The 23,714-nt window shown below is 38.3% G+C and overlaps 1 protein-coding gene and 1 long non-coding RNA gene across 11 annotated transcripts in view, besides 1 other annotated feature; one reads left to right on the top strand and one right to left on the bottom strand.

The window, feature by feature from the left end:
• PDE3B (phosphodiesterase 3B) overlaps positions 1 to 23,714 on the bottom strand; it is a 255,518-nt gene that overhangs the window by 42,693 nt on the left and 189,111 nt on the right. For 9 of the 10 annotated variants that reach the window (NR_190763.1, NR_190764.1, NR_190766.1 and 6 more), the window contains 2 exons: positions 21,534 to 21,647; positions 12,603 to 12,802 (listed from right to left, as the gene is read on the bottom strand). Coding sequence is in view for 6 of the 10 variants with exons in the window: in NM_001429700.1 (NP_001416629.1) it covers positions 12,603 to 12,802; positions 21,534 to 21,647 (314 nt within the window). In the remaining 4 variants the exon portion in view is untranslated. Of the gene's footprint in view, positions 1 to 12,602; positions 12,803 to 21,533; positions 21,670 to 23,714 lie in introns of those variants that run through there. The other variant, XM_006718249.4, reaches the window with a different exon arrangement.
• Positions 389 to 589: a silencer, noted in NCBI's record as "peak1207 fragment used in MPRA reporter construct". NCBI's record gives its function as "represses an SCP1 promoter by STARR-seq MPRAs in K562 erythroleukemia cells {active_cell/tissue: K562}" and the evidence as "EXISTENCE:reporter gene assay evidence [ECO:0000049][PMID:32103011]".
• Positions 3,919 to 19,997, top strand: LOC124902639 (uncharacterized). Its single transcript, XR_007062605.1, has 2 exons — positions 3,919 to 3,955; positions 17,709 to 19,997. It is a non-coding gene; the product is annotated as an uncharacterized LOC124902639 (long non-coding RNA).

Here is a 23,714-nt window from a genome sequence, read left to right as displayed (position 1 = left end):
CCCTTCTCAGACTCCCAAAGTGCTGGGATTACAGGCGTGAGCCACCACACCTGGCCAACTAAGAAGGCACTTCAAGTGAAAAAGATTAAGAAAGATTGTTCATTTAAAAAATAATATTCCCAACTCAAAAAAAAATTCAGTAGAGAGATAGCAGATAAATAAGGTGCCACAGAACACAAAGCAGCTAGTTTTGTTGTTTTTTTATAGGGTAAAGAAATAGTCTTGACAAACAGCTGTTATCTCAGGATTCTTTTACACTGTTCTCGGTTTGTTCTTTTCTGTGTTTACACTGCTATAGAGATACTACCTGAGACTAGGTAATTTATAAACAAAAGAGGTTTAATTGAATCACAGTTCCACATGGGTGGGGAAGCCTCAGGAAACTTACAGTCACAGTGGAAGGCAATGGAGAGGCAGGCACCTTCTTCACAAGACAGCAGGAGAGGGAGAGAGAGCACACACAGGGGAGACTACCACTTTTAAACCATCAGATCTCATGACAACTCCCTCACTATCATAAGAACAGCATGGGAGAACCTGCCCCCATGGTCTAATCACCTCACACCAGGGCCCTGCCCTTGACATGTGAGGATTACAATTTGAGATGAGATTTGGGTGAGGACACAGAGACAAACCGTATCAGTTCAAAAATTTCTAATAATCCCTTATCTTCCTTTATCTTAGTTACCACCCTTCTTCTGCTGAAATACATTTTAAAATAACTTTCTGAGGATGGTCAAGATATGACTGTTTAAAATCACTGCATATCTGAGAATCTCATTATTTTGCTCTCATGTAAAATGGTAGCTTAGCTGAATATAGAACTCTAACTTGAAAATAATACTCTTATGCCAGCACTTCCTATCTCCTCTCATTTTACTTATTTCCTAGCTCTTAAGTCATAATCTTCTCTTTCTCTCTCTGTCTGTCTCTCTTGGTCTCTCTTTCTCTTGCTCTGTCTCTGTCTCTCTCTCTCTCTCTTGCTCACACACATTATTTATGTATTTATTTTCTTGCTGTACTAGAATGTAAGTTCGATGAGGGGCAAGATTTTTTCCCATGTTTTATTTAATATAACAATGCCTAAATAGTGCCTATCCCACAATATGCACCCAATAAATACTTGAACAAATAAATAAATGAATAAATTCCCCTAGAATTTTAGAGACTTCATTCCAGTATTGTCTAGCATCTATTGTTGCTAAAATACAATGACAGTTGAATTTTTGTTCTTTTATAGATGTATTGTTTTCATCTTCTCGGGAATTCTTTTTTTTTTTAAACAAAATCTCTGGTGTTCTGAAATTTTTCCATGATGTGCTATGTGTGGTGTTTGAATTTTTTTCTCTATTCAACTTTCCTGGCACTTAGTGAGCCCCTTCAATCCAAAGACTCCCTTCTTTTTAGAACTTCCACTAGTCACATCTTGACCTAGTCCCCTATATCTTATCTTCTCCTTCCCTATATTCTCTTTTTATCTTCCTGGTCTATGTCCTGGGACAGACTACCTGGACTTCTACTTCCAATGCTTATATTGAATTTTTAAAATTTCCTGCAGTAATATTTTTAGTTTCTAAGAGCCTAACTTGTTTTCTGATGTTCCTTTATTATAGTTTCCTGTTCTTACTTTATGGATGCAATATTTTTCAAATTCTGAGAATACATTTTAAAAAAAATAATTAGATGCTTCTCTATTCCCTAGATTCTCCCTGTGACAGTTATTCTTTCCATCTTAGCCTTTTCTTTCCAAGCTTCTGATTAATGCCATGGCTGATGATCCTTGGTTTTCTGTGTATATAGAAAAATGAATTTTAAACTGGGTGCGGTGGCTCACGCCTGTAATCCCAGCACTTTGGGTGGCTGAAGTGGGCAGATCACGAGGTCAAGAGATCGAGACCATCCTGGCCAACATGGTGAAACCCCATCTCTACTAAAAATACAAAAATTAGCTGGGCGTGGTGGCATGCCCCTGTAGTCTCAGCTACTCGGAAGCTGAAGCAGGAGAATCTCTTGAACCCTGGAGGCAGAGGTTGCAGTGAGCCAAGATCGTGCCACTGCACTCCAGCCTGGCAACAGAGTGAGACCCTGTCTCACAAAAAAAAAAAAAAAATTCTAGATTTCAGTTGTAATCTCTCTGCTGTTATGTATGTTTTATTGTGGAGTCTCTCCCCTTGGGATGAGTGAGTGGGAACTATGTAAATGTGGATAGGGTTTGTTACCTAGCAAGTTTTGCTTTAGAATAATGGGTGCCAGCTATTAGATGTCTAGAATGAGAGAAATTTACTTTAGACTACTAATACCCACTCCAGGAACTGTTACTCTCTCCAGGCAGTTCCTTCAATATCTAAGAGATGAGTTTTCTGCCTGGAGGTAAACATAGGGTTTTAGTCACTCTGCATAAAGGTGTGTGTATGCACAGGGAGAGCAAGCAGGAGCAAATGGTAACAGGAGTCTCTGGGGTTCCAGCTGTGCTGGGTACTTTTGTTTTATCTGTCAATATTCATCCATTTTTCATTTTCCAGAAATGTTATAAAAAAAACTTTTATCTGCTGGTGATAATACCCATCCTCCTCTTACTGCTCTCTGTTGTAATGAACTTCATAACTTACTATTATTTTAATGCATTCTCAGGAAGAAGGGGTAACAGATTCATGTGTTTAGTCATCTTAATCCATATTTTGGAAGACAAAACATTTAAAAATCTCAACTTAAAATTTTGTTTCCTTTTACCCAGTCTCATAAAAATATTCCAGAAATTTTACTATCTCAAGCACTAACCTGCATCTTTCAGCCAACTTCTCATTTGGAAATAGCTCAGAAATCTCTTAGAATCTTATTAATACTGACATTCCTCCAGGATATACCTGACTATATGTATCACCTTCTTTCGTGGCAAGAATCCTCCTGTATCTTTCTAGCACACATTCCTTACCATGAGAATGAAGAAGAATGCTTGACCCAGCTGGTGGTATTATATGCTACTGTCTATATTACACTGAAACTATAATATCTTTCATTAATTATGGCCTGACTAGACCCACTGAGTTTCCAAAGATGAAAGAACCTACTTTGTTACTTAACCACATTAAGCCCTAGATTTTTACAAGGGTCCTTATCTCACAGGTGCTAGTTGAAGAAGGCCTCATAAACTTCGTTACTTTGGGAAGCACAGAACATTTTTCAGAAAACCTAGGAGTACTACAGAGCAAAGAATTCAGACATCCTTCAACATTCAACAAATATTTACTAAATGCTTTTTGTATGTCAAGCACTATTCTAGGTATTATGGAATAAAAGACAAAAATCCCTGCCCTTGTGGAACTTTATATTCCATTGAGAAGATACATATAAAAAACAAAGTACATAAACAAAATATATAGTATCCTAAATGATCACTGCAATGGAAAAAAAGCAGAGAAGGAGCATAATGGTATAAAGAAGGGGATTTTGAAATTTTAGATGGAAGGAGGTGACAAAATGCGTATACGGATATCTAAAGGAAAAGCCCTCTGGGCAGGGAGAACAGAAAGTGCAAACACTCTCAGAAAGGGACAGAGATGGTATTAGCAAGGAAGCCAGTGAGACTAGACTTGAGTAAGTTAAAAAAAAAAAAAAAAGAGAGAGAGACTTAATGGGACCAATAATGTAGGGCCTTGCAGAACATTTTATGATTGTCATTTACTAGGGGTAAGGTGAATGCCATTGGAGAGTTTACTATTTTGTTTTTATTTTTTTGAAACAGGGTCTCAAATGTTGCCCAGATTGGTCTCAAACTCCTAGGCTCAAGCAATCCTCATGTCTCAGCCACCCAAAGCACTGAGATTACAGGTGTGAGCCACAGCGCCTGGCAAAAGAGTCTGGAACAGAGTGATGCAACACACTGAAACAGGGTCACATTCTGGCTGACATGTTGAGAACAGACTGAAGGAGAGCAGACAACAAGCAAGGAGACTAGGTAAGAGGCTATGCATTTTCACAGCTGAACTCTCTAATCCATCTCCTTTCCATTCTAGCACTTCCTATGGCTTCATCTAATGGCAATTCGTAACAATGAGAAGTTAGAAATAACGTGATTATTGATATCATGTTCAGACTTCACAACTGTATTTTGATTAGGACAACAATTGAGTATGCAACTTGTATAAGTTGTTCATATAACATTGTTTTAAATTATCTTCATGTGAGACAGTTAACATTGGAATTCACTCATTTCTAACATCCTTGAGGGAAGATATACTTTACGAAAATGAAAGCTGTAATAAAAACATAGAGTAGGCCGGCATGGTAGCTCATGCCTGTAATCCCAGCACTTTGGGAGGCTGAGGCGGACAGATCACATGAGGTCAGTAGTTTGAGACCAGCCTGGTCAACATGGTGAAACCCTGTCTCTACTACAAATAAAAAATTAGCCGGGCATGGTGGCAGGCACCTGTAATCCCAGCTACTTGGGAGGCTGAGGCAGGAGAATCACTTGAATCCAGGAGATGGAGGTTGCAGTGGGCCAAGATCACGTCACTGCACTCCAGCCTGGGCAACACAGCAAGACTCTGTCTCAAAACAAAACAAAGCAAAACAAAACAGCAGAGTGGACTAGAACAGTAAGTAACTTCTACCTATGTGATTTCTGATTCAGGAGCTTCTCATGCCATCAGAAACAGTATAAAACCTTCCATATGTTACCTCCTTAATCATATCAGATAACTATTTTTAGGTTCAGAGGAATAAACCTTTATTTGAGGTCATACAGCTAATAAGTGGGCAATCAGAAATCTAAGACAGGACTTTTAATCTCGTCCAGTGCTTTTTCCACTATGCCATTAATCCTCAGGTCTATGATTCACCAAAGGACTAGGATTTTCAAAGATTATGATGTGCTAGGTTTGAGAGAATGGGCATCTGATTCTTACAGAATGGTATTGCAAATAAGAAAATATGTGCCACTTAGAAGGTACTTTTTTAAAAAAATAATACTTAGAAAGTGGGCAACTACTAGTAACTAGATTTAAATTAATCAGAAAGTTACCTCTGGAAATCATGAGCTATTAATAAAGTCTCATTGGATAAATGAATCACATGGCCCTTTTAACCCATTAACACACACACACACACACACACACACCCCATTATACCCATTTACACATATACATATTCATAGTTCCCTACATGCCTTCCCCCGACCCCAACACACATGCTCACAATTCAAGAGAATATATCTCCTATTTTTAAAAAAGTTGGAGTATATGAAAGAGATTGAAGAAAAAAAAGAAAAACAGAAAATGGCTACAGAAAATGAAAGGATCAGAGCCAAGGTTTAAACATAGAATAAAGAAGTGGGAAGTGAGATGAATTCAGCAACTATCACTGAGCACCTACTCTTCATAAAGCATCCAATTAGAAACACACAGATCACATTTCAGGAATCCCCAGCATAAACAAACCCAGCTACCACACAAAAATCTGCTTAAACCACAACCACACTAAATTCTACTTAAAACCACGTATTTAGGGCCAGGCGTGGTGGCTCACGCCTGTAATCCCAGCACTTTGGGAGGCCAAGGCAGACGGATCACGAGGTCAAGAGATCGAGACCATCCCGGCTAACACAGTGAAACCCCGTCTCTACTAAAAAAAAAAAAAAAAAAAAAAATAGCTGGGTGTGGTAGTCCCAGCTACTCCAAAGACTGAGGCAGGATAATGGCATGAACCTGGGGGGCGGAGCTTGCAGTAAGCCGAGAATGCCCCACTGCACTCCAGCCTGGGTGACAGAGCAGGACTCCGTCTCAAAAAACAAAACAAAGCAAAACACAACACATATTTAGTTCCAAGTCCTAATGTTTAAAGCTATTGCAATTACAGTATCTATTTGTTGAGAACTCTTGCCTCTTTCATGCAAATTGTGACCTTAAAGGAATTTTATATTTTACCAGCTATACTAGGTACAAAAATAATATACCAGAAGAATTTTTACATACACTAATATATTCAGAAGTAAGAGATTTTAGCTCTGGTATTAAGGCAAATCTTAAGGGAAAAAAGAGAACAACAAAAAAGATTAATAGTTCTCAACCATTATAGCTTTCTAGCCATACAATGGGCCTAAATAGGAGGAGCAGAAATCTTTTTTTTTTAATTTTATTATTATTATACTTTAAGTTTTAGGGTACATGTGCACAATGTGCAGGTTAGTTACATATGTATACATGTGCCATGCTGGTGTGCTGCACCCATTAACTTGTCATTTAGCATTAGGTATATCTCCTAAAGCTATCCCTCCCCCCTTCCCCCACCCTACAACAGTCCCCAGAGTGTGATGTTCCCCTTCCTGTGTCCATGTGTTCTCATTGTTCAATTCCTACCTATGACTGAGAATATGCGGTGTTTGGTTTTTTGTTCTTGCGATAGTTTACTGAGAATGATGATTTCCAATTTCATCCATGTCCCTACAAAGGACATGAACTCATCCTTTTTTATGGCTGCATAGTATTCCATGGTGTATATGTGCCACATTTTCTTCATCCAGTCTATCATTGTTGGACATTTGGGTCGGTTCCAAGTCTTTGCTATTGTGAATAATGCCGCAATAAACATACGTGTGCATGTGTCTTTATAGCAGCATGATTTATAGTCCTTTGGGTATATACCCAGTAATGGGATGGCTAGGTCAAATGGTATTTCTAGTTCTAGATCCCTGAGGAATCGCCACACTGACTTCCACAATGGTTGAACTAGTTTACAGTCCCACCAACAGTGTAAAAGTGTTCCTATTTCTCCACATCCTCTCCAGCACCTGTTGTTTCCTGACTTTTTAATGATTGCCATTCTAACTGGTGTGAGATGGTATCTCACTGTGGTTCTGATTTGCATTTCTCGGATGGCCAGTGATGGTGAGCATTTTTTCACGTGTTTTTTGGCTGCATAAATGTCTTCTTTTGAGAAGTGTCTGTTCATGTCCTTCGCCCACTTGTTGATGGGGTTGTGTGTTTTTTTCTTGTAAATTTGTTTGAGTTCATTGTAGATTCTGGATATTAATCCTTTGTCAGATGAGTAGGTTGCGAAAATTTTCTCCCATTTTGTAGGTTGCCTGTTCACTCTGATGGTAGTTTCTTTTGCTGTGCAGAAGCTCTTGAGTTTAATTAGATCCCATTTGTCAATTTTGGCTTTTGTTGCCATTGCTTCTGGTGTTTTAGACATGAAGTCCTTGCCCATGCCTATCTCCTGAATGGTAATGCCTAGGTTTTCTTCTAGGGTTTTTATGGTTTTAGGTCTAACGTTTAAGTCTTTAATCCATCTTGAATTAATTTTTGTATAAGGTGTAAGGAAGGGATCCAGTTTCAGCTTTCTACATATGGCTAGCCAGTTTTCCCAGCACCATTTATTAAACAGGGAATCCTTTCCCCATTGCTTGTTTTTCTCAGGTTTGTCAAAGATCAGATAGTTGTAGATATGCAGCGTTATTTCTGAGGGCTCTGTTCTGTTCCATTGATCTATATCTCTGTTTTGGTACCAGTACCATGCTGTTTTGGTTAGTGTAGCCTTGTAGTATAGTTTGAAGTCAGGTAGCGTGATGCCTCCAGCTTTGTTCTTTTGGCTTAGGATTGACTTGGCGATGCAGGCTCTTTTTTGGTTCCATATGAACTTTAAAGTAGTTTTTTCCAATTCTGGGAAGAAAGTCATTGGTAGCTTGATGGGGATGGCATTGAATCTATAAATTACCTTGGGCAGTAAGGCCATTTTCATACTGATTCTTCCTACCCATGAGCATGGAATGTTCTTCCATTTGTTTGTATCCTCTTTTATTTCATTGAGCAGTGGTTTGTAGTTCTCCTTGAAGAGGTCCTTCACATCCCTTGTAAGTTGGATTGCTAGGTATTTTATCCTCTTTGTAGCAATTGTGAATGGGAGTTCACTCATGATTTGGCTCTGTGTTTGTCTGTTATTGGTGTATAAGAATGCTTGTGATTTCTGTACATTGATTTTGTGTCCTCAGACTTTGCTGAAGTTGCTTATCAGCTTAAGGAGATTTTGGGCTGAGACAATGGGGTTTTCTAGATATACAATCATGTCATCTGCAAACAGGGACAATTTGACTTCCTCTTTTCCTAATTGAATGCCCTTTATTTCCTTCTCCTGCCTAATTGCCCTGGCCCGAACTTCCAACACTATGTTGAATAGGAGTGGTGAGAGAGGGCATCCCTGTCTTGTGCCAGTTTTCAAAGGGAATGCTTCCAGTTTTTGCCCATTCAGTATGATATTGGCTGTGGGTTTGTCATAGATAGCTCTTATTATTTTGAGATACGTCCCATCAATACCTAATTTATTGAGAGTTTTTAGCATGAAGGGTTGTTGAATTTTGTCAAAGGCCTTTTCTGCATCTATTGAGATAATCATGTGGTTTTTGTCTTTGGTTCTGTTTATATGCTGGATTACATTTATTGATTTGCATATATTGAACCAGCCTTGCATCCCAGGGATGAAGCCCACTTGATCATGGTGGATAAGCTTTTTGATGTGCTGCTGGATTCGGTTTGCCAGTATTTTATTGAGGATTTTTGCATCAATGTTCATCAAGGATATTGGTCTAAAATTCTCTTTTTTGGTTGTGTCTCTGCCAGGCTTTGGTATCAGGATGATGCTGGCCTCATAAAATGAGTTGGGGAGGAATCCCTCTTTTTCTATTGATTGGAATAGTTTCAGAAGGAATGGTACCAGTTCCTCCTTGTACCTCTGGTAGAATTCGGCTGTGAATCCATCTGGTCCTGGACTCTTTTTGGTTGGTAAGCTATTGATTATTGCCACAATTTCAGAGCCTGTTATTGGTCTGTTCAGAGAGTCAACTTCTTCCTGGTTTAGTCTTGGGAGGGTGTATGTGTCGAGGAATGTATCCATTTCTTCTAGATTTTCTAGTTTATTTGCTTAGAGCTGTTTGTACTATTCTCTGATGGCAGTTTGTATTTCTGTGGGATCGGTGGTGATATCCCCTTTATCATTTTTTATTGCGTCTATTTGATTCTTCTCTCTTTTCTTTATTAGTCTTGCTAGCGGTCTATCAATTTTGTTGATCCTTTCAAAAAACCAGCTCCTGGATTCATTGATTTTTTGAAGGGTTTTTTGTGTCTCTATTTCCTTCAGTTCTGCTCTGATTTTAGTTATTTCTTGCCTTCTGCTAGCTTTTGAATGTGTTTGCTCTTGCTTTTCTAGTTCTTTTAATTGTGATGTTAGGGTGTCAATTCTGGATCTTTCCTGCTTTCTCTTGTGGGCATTTAGTGCTATAAATTTCCCTCTACACACTGCTTTGAATGTGTCCCAGAGATTCTGGTATGTTGTGTCTTTGTTCTCGTTGGTTTCAAAGAACATCTTTATTTCTGCCTTCATTTCATTATGTACCCAGTAGTCATTCAGGAGCAGGTTGTTCAGTTTCCATGTAGTTGAGCGGTTTTGAGTGAGTGTCTTAATCCTGAGTTCCAGTTTGATTGCACTGTGGTCTGAGAGACAGTTTGCCATAATTTCTGATCTTTTACATTTGCTGAGGAGAGCTTTACTTCCAACTATATGGTCAATTTTGGAATAGGAGTGGTCTGGTGCTGAAAAAAATGTATATTCTGTTGATTTGGGGTGGAGAGTTCTGTAGATGTCTATTAGGTCCGCTTGGTGCAGAGCTGAGTTCAATTCCTGGGTATCCTTGTTAACTTTCTGTCTCATTGATCTGTCTAATGTTGACAGTGGGGTGTTAAAGTCCCCCATTATTATTGTGTGGGAGTCTAAGTCTCTTTGTAGGTTACTCAGGACTTGCTTTATGAATCTGGGTGCTCCTGTATTGGGTGCATATATATTTAGGATAGTTAGCTCTTCTTGTTGAATTGATCCCTTTACCATTATGTAATGGCCTTCTTTGTCTCTTTTGATCTTTGTTGGTTTAAAGTCTGTTTTATCAGAGACTAGAATTGCAACCCCTGCCTTTTTTTGTTTTTCATTTGCTTGGTAGATCTTCCTCCATCCTTTTATTTTGAGCCTATGTGTGTCTCTGCACATGAGATGGGTTTCCTGAATACAGCACACTGATGGGTCTTGACTCTTTATCCAATTTGCCAGTCTGTATCTTTTAATTGGAGCATTTAGTCCATTTACATTTAAAGTTAATATTGTTATGTGTGAATTTGATCCTGTCATTATGATGTTAGCTAGTTATTTTGCTCATTAGTTGATGCAGTTTCTTCCTAGCCTCGATGGTCTTTACAATTTGGCATGATTTTGCAGTGGCTGGTACCAGTTGTTCCTTTCCATGTTTAGTGCTTCCTTCAGGAGCTCTTTTAGGGCAGGCCTGGTGGTGACAAAATCTCTCAGCATTTGCTTGTCTGTAAAGTATTTTATTTCTCCTTTACTTATGAAGCTTAGTTTGGCTGGATATGAAATTCTGGGTTGAAAATTCTTTTCTTTAAGAATGTTGAATATTGGCCCCCACTCTCTTCTGGCTTGTAGAGTTTCTGCTGAGAGATCCGCTGTTAGTCTGATGGGCTTCCCTTTGTGGTAACCCAATCTTTCTCTCTGGCTGCCCTTAACATTTTTTTCCTTCATTTCAACTTTGGTGAATCTGACAGTTATGAGTCTTGGAGTTGCTCTTCTCGAGGAGTATCTTTGTGGCGTTCTCTGTATTTCCTGAATCTGAATGTTGGCCTGCCTTGCTAGATTGGGGAAGTTCTCCTGGATAATATCCTACAGAGTGTTTTCCATCTTGGTTCCATTCTCCCCCTCACTTTCAGGTATACCAGTCAGACATAGATTTGGTCTTTTCACATAGTCCCATATTTCTTGGAGGCTTTGTTTGTTTCTTTTTATTCTTTGTTCTCTAAACTTCCCTTCTTGCTTCATTTCATTCGTTTCATCTTCCATCACCGAAACCCTTTCTTCCGGTTGATCACATCGGCTCCTGAGGCTTCTGCATTCTTCACGTAGTTTTCGAGCCTTGGCTTTCAGCTCCATCAGCTCCTTTAAGCACTTCTCTGTATTGGTTATTCTAGTTATACATTCTTCTAAATTTTTTTCAAAGTTTTCAACTTCTTTGCCTTTGGTTTGAATTTCCTCCTGTAGCTCAGAGTAATTTGATCGTCTGAAGCCTTCTTCTCTCAACTCGTCAAAGTCATTCTCCGTCCAGCTTTGTTCCATTGCTGGTGAGGAGCTGAGTTCCTTTGGAGGAGGAGAGGCGTTCTGCTTTTTAGAGTTTCCAGTTTTTCTGCTCTGTTTTTTCCCCATCTTTGTGGTTTTATCTACTTTTGGTCTTTGATGATGGTGATGTACAGATGGGTTTTTGGTGTGGATGTCCTTTCTGTTTGTTAGTTTTCCTTCTAACAGACAGGACCCTCAGCTGCAGGTCTGTTGGAGTTTGCTAGAGGTGCACTCCAGACCCTGTTTGCCTGGGTACCAGCAGCGGTGGCTGCAGAACAGCAGATTTTCGTGAACCGTGAACGCTGCTGTCTGATCGTTCCTCTGGAAGTTTTGTCTCGGAGGAGTACCCAGCCGTGTGAGGTGTCAGTCTGCCCCTACTAGGGGGTGCCTCCCAGTTAGGCTGCTCGGGGGTCAGGGGTCAGGGACCCACTTGAGGAGGCAGTCTGCCCGTTCTCAGATCTCCAGCTGCGTGCTGGGAGAACCACTGCTCTCTTCAAAGCTGTCAGACGGGGACATTTAAGTCTGCAGAGGTTACTGCTGTCTTTTTGTTTGTCTGTGCCCTGCCCCCAGAGGTGGAGCCTACAGAGGCAGGCAGGCCTCCTTGGGCTGTGGTTGGCTCCACCCAGTTCGAGCTTCCCAGCTGCTTTGTTTACCTAAGCAAGCCTGGGCAATGGCGGGCGCCCTTTCCCCAGCCTTGCTGCTGCCTTGCAGTTTGATCTCAGACTGCTGTGCTAGCAATCAGCGAGACTCCGTGGCCATAGGACCCTCCGAGCCAGGTGCGGGATGTAATCTCCTGGTGCGCCGTTTTTTAAGCCCGTCGGAAAAGCGTAGTACTGGGGTGGGAGTGACCTGATTTTCCAGGTGCTGTCTGTCACCCCTTTCTTTGACTAGGAAAGGGAACTCCCTGACCCCTTGTGCTTCCCGAGTGAGGCAATGCCTCGCCCTGCTTCGGCTCGCGCACGGTGCGCTGCACCCACTGTCCTGTGCCCACTGTCTGGCACTCCCTAGTGAGATGAACCTGGTACCTCCGATGGAAATGCAGAAATCACCCGTCTTCTGCGTCACTCACGCTGGGAGCTGTAGACCAGAGCTGTTCCTATTCGGCCATCTTGGCTCCAGCGGAACAGAAATCTTAAATACAGTCAGAGTTTTGCTGGTTTGATTAAAGACAAAAATATTGACAGCAAGGACTCTAGAATTTCACAAAACAATGAGTTGTTTCAAAAACTGTCTATTATTTTCTAGTTCAAGAAGTTGATTCTTCCCCTAATTTCCTAGCACACATCACATTAATGCCATGTGTTATCCAATTAATTAAAATGTAGGGTATTAAAGTCAGATGGATTGGACATATGATTCAACTGAATGATTTATAAAGGGATACACAGCATGACTGAAAATTTCAGAATTACTCTTTAAAGGTTCTTAAAAATATTTCCTACCTGAGGGGCATTTGTAGCCACTAGAAATGCATTTGTCCTCCCTGGGTGATCATAATCATGCATGGCAGCTGCCACGTATAGAGCCATCAATTCTAATGCAGGAATGTTTGAAGACAGGCAGCCATAACTCTCATCAGGATTAGAGCAGCTCTTCGAAGAAATATAAGCAATTCGCCCATGGTTAATTCTACCATCAGAATCTGAGAAACAATAAATAGCAAAATAAACCAGCATTAGCACATAAATTCCTCACAATTTTGCTATGGAGGGGATTCTCATAGGTAATATGCTTACTTATTTTATTTGCTGATTTAAGTAAGAACTAAAATCTATGAACTTAAAAGAGTATATTATTCCCAATTTAACATGTTAGTAGAGAGGAACAGTGTTAAATCTGACCCTGAAGTTGCTTACTTTACAAGACGTGATAGGATTCTCACACAAGTTTGATGCTTACTCAGGCAAATAATAATTTTAAAAACCTCTGATTTTCTAAATATTTGCTGTTTAATGACTAGATAGATACAATGGCCAGGATATATGATATAACAGAAAAAGGCAATACTAGAGAATAAAATTTGATGAAAACATTACAAAGATTTAGGAATTTAATATCTTACCAAACTAAGCTTCTCTACATAGATGCTTTTCAAATCTCATCCGGAAAGATTACATTTCATTTGTAGCCCTAACTACAACTCCTTATCTCCCTTTTGTTTTCTTTCATGAAGCTCCATATAATATAACGGAATAAAAAATAGTGGAAAATGAAAAGGCATGGAAAACTGGGGAACATCTCAGTCAACATAACTCTATTTTTATCCTCTTCTTAGAAACAATATGTTCACTATCCACACTGTGCTTCTGGTGTCTTAATATCTTACCATTGATTTCTTCTTTTTTGGTGGCTTTATCTATCTAGATGATCATTCTATTATTTTTGCAAAAGAAACCTTTAAAAAGTATAAGAAGGAAAAAGAAACTATATTTAAAGTAGACACATAAAACCACAGATATTAGGTACAAAGTTTCCTTGGTTGTATTCATTGGGGGAACCTAGAAATAATGCTCTGGCTTGTTAAAGTCCAAAAGAATTATTTAATCCTATTTTAGTTGACTCAATACACCATCACAAGAATTTTTTAACATGACTTTAATACACTAGTGACAATTATAAATATATCTCATTATTTTCATGCTATTTATAATTTGTATCAAAATTAAGTTTTGGAATAGCCCACACTAGAGCATTTTTTTAAAATTTATGTTTTTAGAGATGGGGTCTTGCTATGATGCCCAGGTTGGAGTGCAGCAGCTAGCTATTCATAGGTCCAATCGTAATAGTACGCTACACCCTCTAATTCCTCATCTCAATTGACCTGCCCTCAGCCACCTGAGTAGCTTGGACTAGAGTTATGTACCACTACACCGGCTTAGAGCTATTTTTTAAATAATTATAAAAAGCAAACATGAGGCAGTTAAATTATATGCATAATGATATATGTAAGCACTCAAATTTCTAATAAGACTTTAAATATCAATACAGAGTCAATAATTTGAATTTTCCTATGTGATACACATTCTGGACTTTCCCTACAATTTTAAAATATATTTTAAAAATCAAACATGGCAAAATATTTCCTTTTAAATTCAGTAATTACTTGGAATTTATATATTAGGATCTTAAAACATTAGCTTATATATGTTTCCAAAAAAATAACAGTACAAAAAAGAACACAGTTGGCAAGGGCAATGAAACATAACTACTTAGAATCCCATTTATTCACTTCGTTTCAGAAAACTGTGATTTTAAAAATTTGCTGACACATTTAAAAGGACGCCTCAGTAAAAGACATCCAGATTGGAAATGAAGATGCAAAACTATCTTTATTCACAGATGGCCTAATCTCGTATATGTAGGAAATCCCAAGAAATCTACTGAAAAACTATTAGAACTAATAAATTAGTTCATCAAGTTAGCAGGGAACAAGATAAACATGCAAAAATCAATTGCATTTCTACATACTTAGCAACAAAAAAAATGACATTTTTAGAGAAATAGAAAAAAAAATTCATATGGCACCACAAAAACATTCCAAGTAGCCAAAGCAATCTTGAGCAAAAAGAACAAAGCTGGAGGCATCAGACTACCTGATTTCAAAATCTATTACAAAGCGATAGTAATCAAAACAGCATGGGCCAGGCACGGTGGCTCATGCCTATAATCCCACCACTTTGGGAGGCCGAGGCAGGTGGATCACTTGAGCTCAGGAGTTCTAGACCAGCCTGAGAAACATGGTGTTTTCTTTCCCTTCACCTTTAGCCATGATTGTAAGTTTCCTGAGGCCTCTCCAGCCATGCCTCCTGTACAGCCGCAGAATTGTGACTCAATTAAGCCTCTTTCCTTCACAAATTACTCAGTCTCAGGTATTTCCTTATAGCAATGTCAGAACAGACTAATACACTTAGCTGTTGTGTGCATAAACCCACGGAATAAGAACTGGAGTTCATAGGGAAAGAGACTGATCGCTATAAGATAAGAGATCATTTTGTCCACCTGATCATCAAGAGCCTTCTTTGCAGTGAATGGCCTTTGGCAAATATTATATATTAGTGAGGGTTATTCATATATATATATGAATATATATAATTCATATATATATTTTATATATATATATAGAGAGAGAGAGAGAGGGAGAGAGAGAGAGATTTATTTTAAGGAACTTGCTCATGAAATTAAGGAGGCTGGCAAATCCAAAATCTGCAGGGTGGGCTGATTGGCTAAAGACCCAAGGAAGAGCTGATATTCCAGTTCAAGTCTGAAGGCTGTCTACTGGTGGAATTCCTGTTTGCTCAGAGGAGGTCACTCTTTGTTTCTATTAAGGCCTTCAACTGACTGGATGAGGCCCACCGACCTTATGGAGGGTTATCTGCTTTACTTAAAGTCCATCAATTTAAATGTTAATCTCATCCAAAAAATACCCTGAAGGAAATATTAAAATTAATGTCTGACCAAATATGTAGGTACTACTGCCCAGCCAAGCTGACATGTAAAATTAAGCATCATAGTAAGCATTCACATCGCAAACAAATATCCACCTTCCACTCTGGGAAGGTTAGCCATAAACCCCCTAACTAAAACACCTTGTCCAATTAAAAACTCCAATTTTAAAATATTTTTCCTTCTAAGTCCCAAAGCATCCAAGGAAGCTCTTAGCTACTGATCATAAATCAGTACAGATCCTTTCAGCTGGCCATGTCTCTTTCTTGACCAACTGATTCACCGCTTGACCTGCTCACTGGAAGGATTTACCTTATTACCTTTCAAAAGATACCTTTGAGTGATCCTACAATGCTGTAGCTATCCACTTTGAGGAAGTACTGGCATATTGGGCAGAACTATTTATAAACCAGGGCAACTGGTCTTTCTCTTTAAGTCAACTGGTCATAGGGAATTCCCCACAAAGCCGTAACTATGGATTAAGGAAGAGGTATTGGTGTATTAGGAATAAATGTCATGGAAGTCTGAACTTACATTCTGTGCTTTTAGGAGCAACTCAAAACTAATCTTGTAAGTAATTCTTCCCCTTGATGATTGAGAACTACTGCACATGACAAATTTATGAACTGGAGGATCAGAGGGCCCCAAATTCATTATGGGCAGGTAACATGGTAATCTAGTGCCCATGGCCAAGTATTCAGATTCTACCAAAGTGCAACAACAATTTAGCTGCTTTTACAGAAAGGAAAATAATTATTTGAGGAAAGCTGCCTGGTTTTGTTTCAAAACTCCATGTATTTACACTGTAATTATCTTGTAGTGGTCTTCTAGAGACTCCAAAGGGGATCTCTATCTGCAAAAGACATTTTCTTTTGGCAGTCAGATGGAAAAATGGCAGAGTAATTTGCACAACGAGTAGAAATTGCTTCACATGCTTCTCTTGCTCTGGGTTGCACATACAGCCTTACAGTAGTATTTTGGAGCAATAGTACTCAGAAGTCATGAATTTGCCTTCAGAATCCAAAGAGCCCTTTATGTAGAGAATTTCAAATGTATCAGTTATCCCTCAACTCGGAGGAAATATCTCAACATGTCCTAGACCACTGGATCCCTAGTATACTTCAATGATATGACAGATCTCTGAATTTTTTAGCAATTTTTCTCATCTCTCATCTTCTGGCACTCTTATGAAGGCATCTAGGATATCTGTTACTTCTTGCTCAATGGAGCTATTCATCATTATCTCATCAATGTAATGGCTGACCTTGATAACTTACGGGAACAGACTAGATTATAACAGAGAATGAAAGACTTGACATAGCCCAGAACTAAGACAATAGAAGTGTATTGTGATGCCTGCCAGATGTAAATATATGTCTTCTTGTGAATTTTGCTATGAGTTATGGAGGAAAAACAACTCTCCAGATCAATTGCTCTGTGCCAAATATCACAAGTTAGGTTAACTTATTAAAAGAAGAGACCACATCTGGAACAGCTGTAGCAACTAGAGTAACCACCTGATTACATTGAGAATAATCCACCATCATTTTCCAGGATCTACTTATCCTGTGTAAAAGCTATATAATTAAGTTGAACAGCAATGTGATGGAAATCACCATTCCTGCATCTATTAAGTATTTGCTAGTAGCACTGATTTCTGCAACTCATCTAGGAATGTGGTATACTGCTTTTGGTTCACTGTTTTGCCAGAATGAGGCAATTCCTGGAGATTCCATTTGATCCTTCCTACAACGATGGTCCTCTTTCCAAAGATCAAGGAATTGATGAAGGGATTCTGACAGTTGCTGAATATGTTTACTCAAACTATACATTCAGAAAATGGGTGTGGTTCTGCTAACTACCATTATGAGATGAACCCAGGCCAAAATCCTTTTATCACCTAAATTCCATAGGCCCCTAACTCTGGCTGTAGGACCAGCATAGCATTTCACTCTCCAGGAATTAATGCTGAAATATATTTCTCACCACTGTGATAAAGGAGGATACTTCTTGGGGATAAAATTAGGGATGGGTGATAAAATTGAATATGATCACCCCATTTCAACATCTTAACATTGTGAGCTTCTGGATTCCTTCCTCTACAGTATACAAGGAGTTTCAACAATTCTACTTCATCTGATGCCTATACTTTAGACAACTCATGAGGCAAACTGTTAGAGCCACTGCCAGTTGCTCAAGCTAATACACTGACTCCAGAATCTCTGGTAGGTACATCTTCCTTTCTCCCTGGTCTAACACCCTTAAGTCTATTCAGACATATATCCCCCAGGTTTCTACCAATATGAATTGGTAAATTATTCTGGTGTTCAGACTTAATACTTATTCCCCTAAGATCTGCAGGATTTAAGTTTAATTATGGATCTCAAAGAAATGAGTGACAGTGGAGTTGGATTTAGAAGTGAATTATTTCCCTATAAATCAAGAATCTCAAGTGAGGTAATTACAGGGTTTTCAGGCAATCAACACAAGGAGAAATGACTGCTTCCCAGCATGAAGAATCAGCAGGATTTGGGGAATACAAGGCAACATTTATTTAAATCTATCCAAATGATCTCTTTTTGATTATCAGGATCCTTTATTTCCCATTTGATATCTTAATTCTAACATAAGAAGTCTACTGAGGCCACAAACTCATTTGCATTGTATTTCAAGCAACTTCAGGATCAGACATTGGGTTTTATTTTCAGAAGTTATGATCCTATTACTATAAAAAATAAGGGTTTCTTGGCCGGGCACAGTGGCTCACACCTATAATCCCAGCACTTTGGGAGGCCGAGGCGGGCAAATCACGAGGTCGGGAGATCGAGACCATCCTGGCTAACACGGTGAAAACCCGTCTCCACTAAAAATACAAAAAATTAGCCGGCCATGGTGGCAGGGCGCCTGTGGTCCCAGCTACTCGGGAGGCTGAGGCAGGAGAATCGCATGAACCCAGGAGGCGGCGCTTGCACTGAGCCGAGATCGCGCCACTGCACTCCAGCCTGGGCGACAAAGTGAGACTCCGTCTCAAAAAAAAAATAAAATAAAATAAATTAAAAAAAAAATAAGGGTTTCTTTTAGGTCAGTCAGAGATGCTACCTGGTTCTCCAACCATTAATTACAGCCCTAAACTTGTCATTTATTTTCCATTAGTTCTCCAGTGCAGTGAGAATAGGACAGCACATCCCATGGTCCTTCTTGTCTTAGTTTTCATCATAATTTTCCATTGCAATAGCTATTTGGTTTCCCAAAGCTACTTGGTTTCCTTTCTTCTACAGATACTTGGCTCCATAACACTATGTATGAGAACTCATAACACTGCTAGTAAGAACTCAGAAGGAAGTGTGCAGCATGAGAGAGAAAACATATATTGTCTTAGAGAATACTATACCTAAGTCATTGAGAACAGACTGGAGATAGAAAAATGGTCATTAAGGTCATTGCCAATGAATGCTCAGAAGGAAATGAGAAACATGTTATTGGAAACTAGAGGCAAGGGAATCCGTGTTACACAGTAACAGAAAATTTGGCTGAATTAGGTGTTGCAGTTATGTGGAATACAAAACTTACAAATGATAACTTAGACATTTAGTTGAGGAAATTTCCAAGCAAAGCATTGAAGGTGTAGTCTGGTTTCTTACTGTTTATAGTAAATATGAGAGGAAAAAGAAAGATTGGGGGAGAACTCGTAAGCAAAGAGGAATAAGGACTTGATAATTCAGGAAATTCTCAGCCTATCCAGACTACAAGAGAGACTAAAATTAAGAGAGTCACTGTCAGTTAAGTGTGTTCTGCACAGAAAGCCAAGGTTGCAGAGCTGGATTGATTTTCACTAGTTCCTTGGAAAGATCAAAAGGTCAGGGTCAAAAAGAAATTTGAAGATGTTATGCTGCTGTCTTTAAAGAATGGGCCGGCCAGACACAGTGGCTCACGCCTGTAATCCTAACACTTTGAGAGGCTGAGGTGGGCGGATTGCCTGAGCTCAGGAGTTCCAGACCAGCCTGGGCAACATGGTGAAACCCCATCTCTACTAAAATACGAAAAATTAGCCAGGCATGGCAGCGTGCATCTGTAGTCCCAGCTGCTTGGGAGACTGAGGCAGGAGAATTGCTTGAACCCGCCTAGGAGGCGGAGGTTGCGGTGAGCCGAGATCAAGCCACTGTACTCTGGCCTGGGTGACTGAGTGAGACACCGTCTCCAAAATAAACAAAGAAAGAAAGAAAGAAAGGGCCATGAGCCAAGGAGTGTAATTGGAGGAGGCAAGGAAACAAATTCTCCTCTAGAGTATATAGGAGAAAAATAGTTCTGTTGATGCCTTGATTTTACTCCAGTGAAGCCTTTTTTGGACTTCTGACCTCCAGAACTGTAAGATAATAAATTTGTGTGGTTTTCAGTGACTAAATTTCTGGTAACTTATTACAGCAGCAATAGGAAACTAATACAGACTTTTGGCACCTAGAAGTGAGGTACTGATGTGACAAACACCTAAAAATGTGGGAGCGGCTTTGGAATTAGACAATGGAGAGGCTGAATTTTGAAGAGCATGATAGAAACCAGTAAAAAACTACCAATCAACATATTCAAAAGGTTCACTAAACATCAGGCAGGATTAATACAAAAAAAAATTACATGAGTACATCATAGTTAAAATGCTAAAAACCAATAGGAAAGAGAAAAAGGAACATATTATATTTATATATTATATTTCTCAATATGACCTAAGTCTTGACTTGTCAGCAAAAACTGTGAAAGTCACAAGATTATGGAATAATACCTTCAAACATGCTAAAATATAAATATATTCTTCTAAGACAAAATGACAGCTAAAACAAAAAAGTTGAAGAAAATTATCTCTAATAAAAGCACAGGACTGGTGGAAGGAATGAAGGGCACTAGAAAGAATAAATACAGATGGCAGACAAAAATGAACCAGTGACATAAAGCAAATCCATTAAACAAATAATGCATACTTTAGACTCAACTACCAAAATGTAAAAAGTAATATCAGTGGTTGAGTCTATGACATTTACACTGGTTAGTATGGTAATGTTATTTCTCAAGTATTGGTAACTGAGCAAATTCTGTCTTGATATATGTCAGTGCAATGACATAATCATGGCTCACTGCAGCCTTGAACTCCTGGGCTCAAGAGATCCTCCCACCTCAGCCTTCTGAGTAGCTAGGACAGGTGTGTGTCACCACATCCAGCTAAATTTTTTAAAAATTTTTTTGTAGAGATGGGGTCTTGCTTTGTTGCCTAGGCTGGTTTCAAACTCCTGGCCTCAAGTGATCCTCTTGCCTAAGCCTGTAGAAGTGCTAGATTATAGGCATGAGTCACCAGGCCTGGCCCTTTTAATAAGCTAGAATAAGAGAACTATAAATGTTATGATTCATTGTATTTATATAAACTATTATATTTATGATAAGGAATAGCATTAACTTTTTTGGAAGCAAAATTTGTTTATAAAAGTTTTTAATGTCATCATTGAAATACTTTGCAAGGCTTTTGAAAATGTTCTCTTTGGTTTTTGAATGTTATGTATTTTAAATGTATGTGATGTACTTGAAACAAAAAAAAAATTTTTTTTAAAAAAACAAAGGACTAATTATCATAATATTCGGGATAGTGGCTACCTCAGTGAGGAAAACAAAAGAATGGGGGAAAGAAGGAAACATGATAGATCCAGCAGTACTGAATATTAATCTATCTTTAAGATGGGTATCAGGTTTAAAATTTTTCATGTCATTATTATGCATCAAAACTTACACAGTAGAACTTGGGGATAAGTGGTTAAAAAAACGTACACAGTCCTTCGTATGTACTAAACGGTTACTTAATGAAAAACTTAAAAGAACAGAGGTAATGAAATGAGAAAGCTTGATTTACTATTCCTGATCAAAATAATTAAGAGATTTGTAGAAGGAAGTACCTGTTTCATTTCCTGTTCCACAACCATTGTGGATCTGCTGTAAGCCAGGAACTGGCCGTGTTGTCAGATACCAAACTGCATGTAGCACATCTGTGGCATGTATACGATTGTGATCTAAAGTCACCAAAACGTTTTTCTGTTAGGTTTAACACACAACATTTAAAAAGTACAATAATTTCCTAGTCATACTATATCCTCATAAAAAAGATGTGACAGACTAATTCCCCACAATTGAATTTTATTTCATCTAAAGTCTCTTGATGTATTAAAAAAAATATCTTTTAAAAACTTTCCCATATACTATGAAAACATAGTAAAGGTGCCAAAGAAAAGGCAGGATAACCAAGGAGTATTGAAAGGCATTGGAAAATGTTCTCAAGGTGGCTATTTTCTGGCTTTCAAAAATATCATGTAGTGTCTGGATTACAGAGACCCATGTTTGCACACAAAACAGTTTTGTACACAGAACAGTTACAAATTCTGGTTACTTACATTTGTGTCCCCCACAAAAAGGTCAGAAATACTATGTCTCAGGCTTGCCACAGGAATTAAATACTAAATATGTGAAAGCATCCAGCACAGTGTCTGACACATCATATATGATCAATAAAACATCTATTTCCTGAAATTCAACTATGTGAAAAGGCAATGTGGCATAGTGTAAAGAGTATAGGCTTCAGAACTCAGATAGACCTAAAACTGAAACACTACTTTGGTATCTAGTTTTATAATCTTGGGAAAGATCCTTCTGAGTTTACTTCTCACCTATAAAAGTTAGATAATACAACTTTGCCAAAAAAGATTGAATAAGATAACCTATGTGAATCTAATGATTGCAGTTAATGTCGATATCCAATAAAAATTTAACACTTCAACAAATATTTAATGTGTATGTATGCATTAGTAGATAAAATAATATTGTTTTGCCTATAGATATGACATGGCGTACACTGGGAACTTAATTATTATTAATAAATCACCACCTTTTACTAACAATTTACTAAGTGTCATGAATTCTGATACGTGCTTTACATTAATTATCTTATATTAGTACTACCTATGGAGTAGGTACTATTGTTATTCTCATTCACAAATTTTTAAAGTTTAGAAAAGTTAGGTCCAGAGACTATTTTCTTAACTAATGTATCCTAACTGAAGCTGACAGTGAAGACTCCTTACCACCTCTTTCTTTTCGTTCCATTTCCCTTGAAGTCCATCTTAAAGTATCCCTATATTCCATTTATAAAATCCAACCACTTTTTTGAATGCACAATATATAAGTGGAAATTATAGTATATGTAACTCATCTTAAATTATTAAACATTATTAGTGAGTTATGCCAATTGAAGAATAATTCACTATTTATAGAATTAATTTCTCAAAAATGTGTCCACATGGAGGGAAACTGTAGACAATATATAAAGACAGTCCATCTTTTTCTAATATGAAACTCAAATTATATTCAAACATAATATATAATAGCCATTAAATTATTCCATAAATCAGAACACAGTTAAAAACTGAAATTAGATGATCAATTTTAAGCATTTTTAAGTGAATGATTTTCTGAAACTCTTGACTAACTTTTAAAAAGATAAAGTACACAGGCAATTAATTTTAAAAATAGAAAGATGTATACTGTATAACAACCAGGTGAAAAAGCAGATCATAAATATGTATCAATATTATGACCACCTTTACAAAAAATAAATTTATGTAAGAACTCTTGGAGAATATATACCAAAATGTTAACAAAAAACAGACAAAATGTTAACAGTAGTCAGTTAAATCTAGGTAGTATAATACAAATATTCTTTTTAAAACTCCATTTAAAAATTTTTCAGGCCAGGCGCGGCAGCTGACGTCTATAATCGCAGCACTTTGGGAGGCCAAGGCAGGTGGATCACCAGAGGTCAGGAGTTCAGCACCAGCCTGGCCAACATGGTGAAACCCCATCTCTACTAAAAATATAAAAAATTAGCTGGGTGTGGTGGCGGGCACCTGTAATCCCAGCTACCTGCGAGGGCCAAGACAGGAGAATCACTTGAACGTGGGGGGCGGAGGTTGCAGTGGGCCAAGATCGCGCCATTGCACTCCAGCCTGGACGACAAGATCAAGACTCTTGTCTCAAGAAAAAAAAAAAAGAAAATTTCAAACAAGCAGTTTTAAAAGTGTTTAAGG

This window comes from Homo sapiens, chromosome 11, assembly GCF_000001405.40.
Source record: "Homo sapiens chromosome 11, GRCh38.p14 Primary Assembly".
NCBI classification, from domain to species: domain Eukaryota; kingdom Metazoa; phylum Chordata; class Mammalia; order Primates; family Hominidae; genus Homo; species Homo sapiens.
Note: the sequence above shows the minus strand (reverse complement) of the source record. Positions and strands in the feature narration are given on the sequence as shown.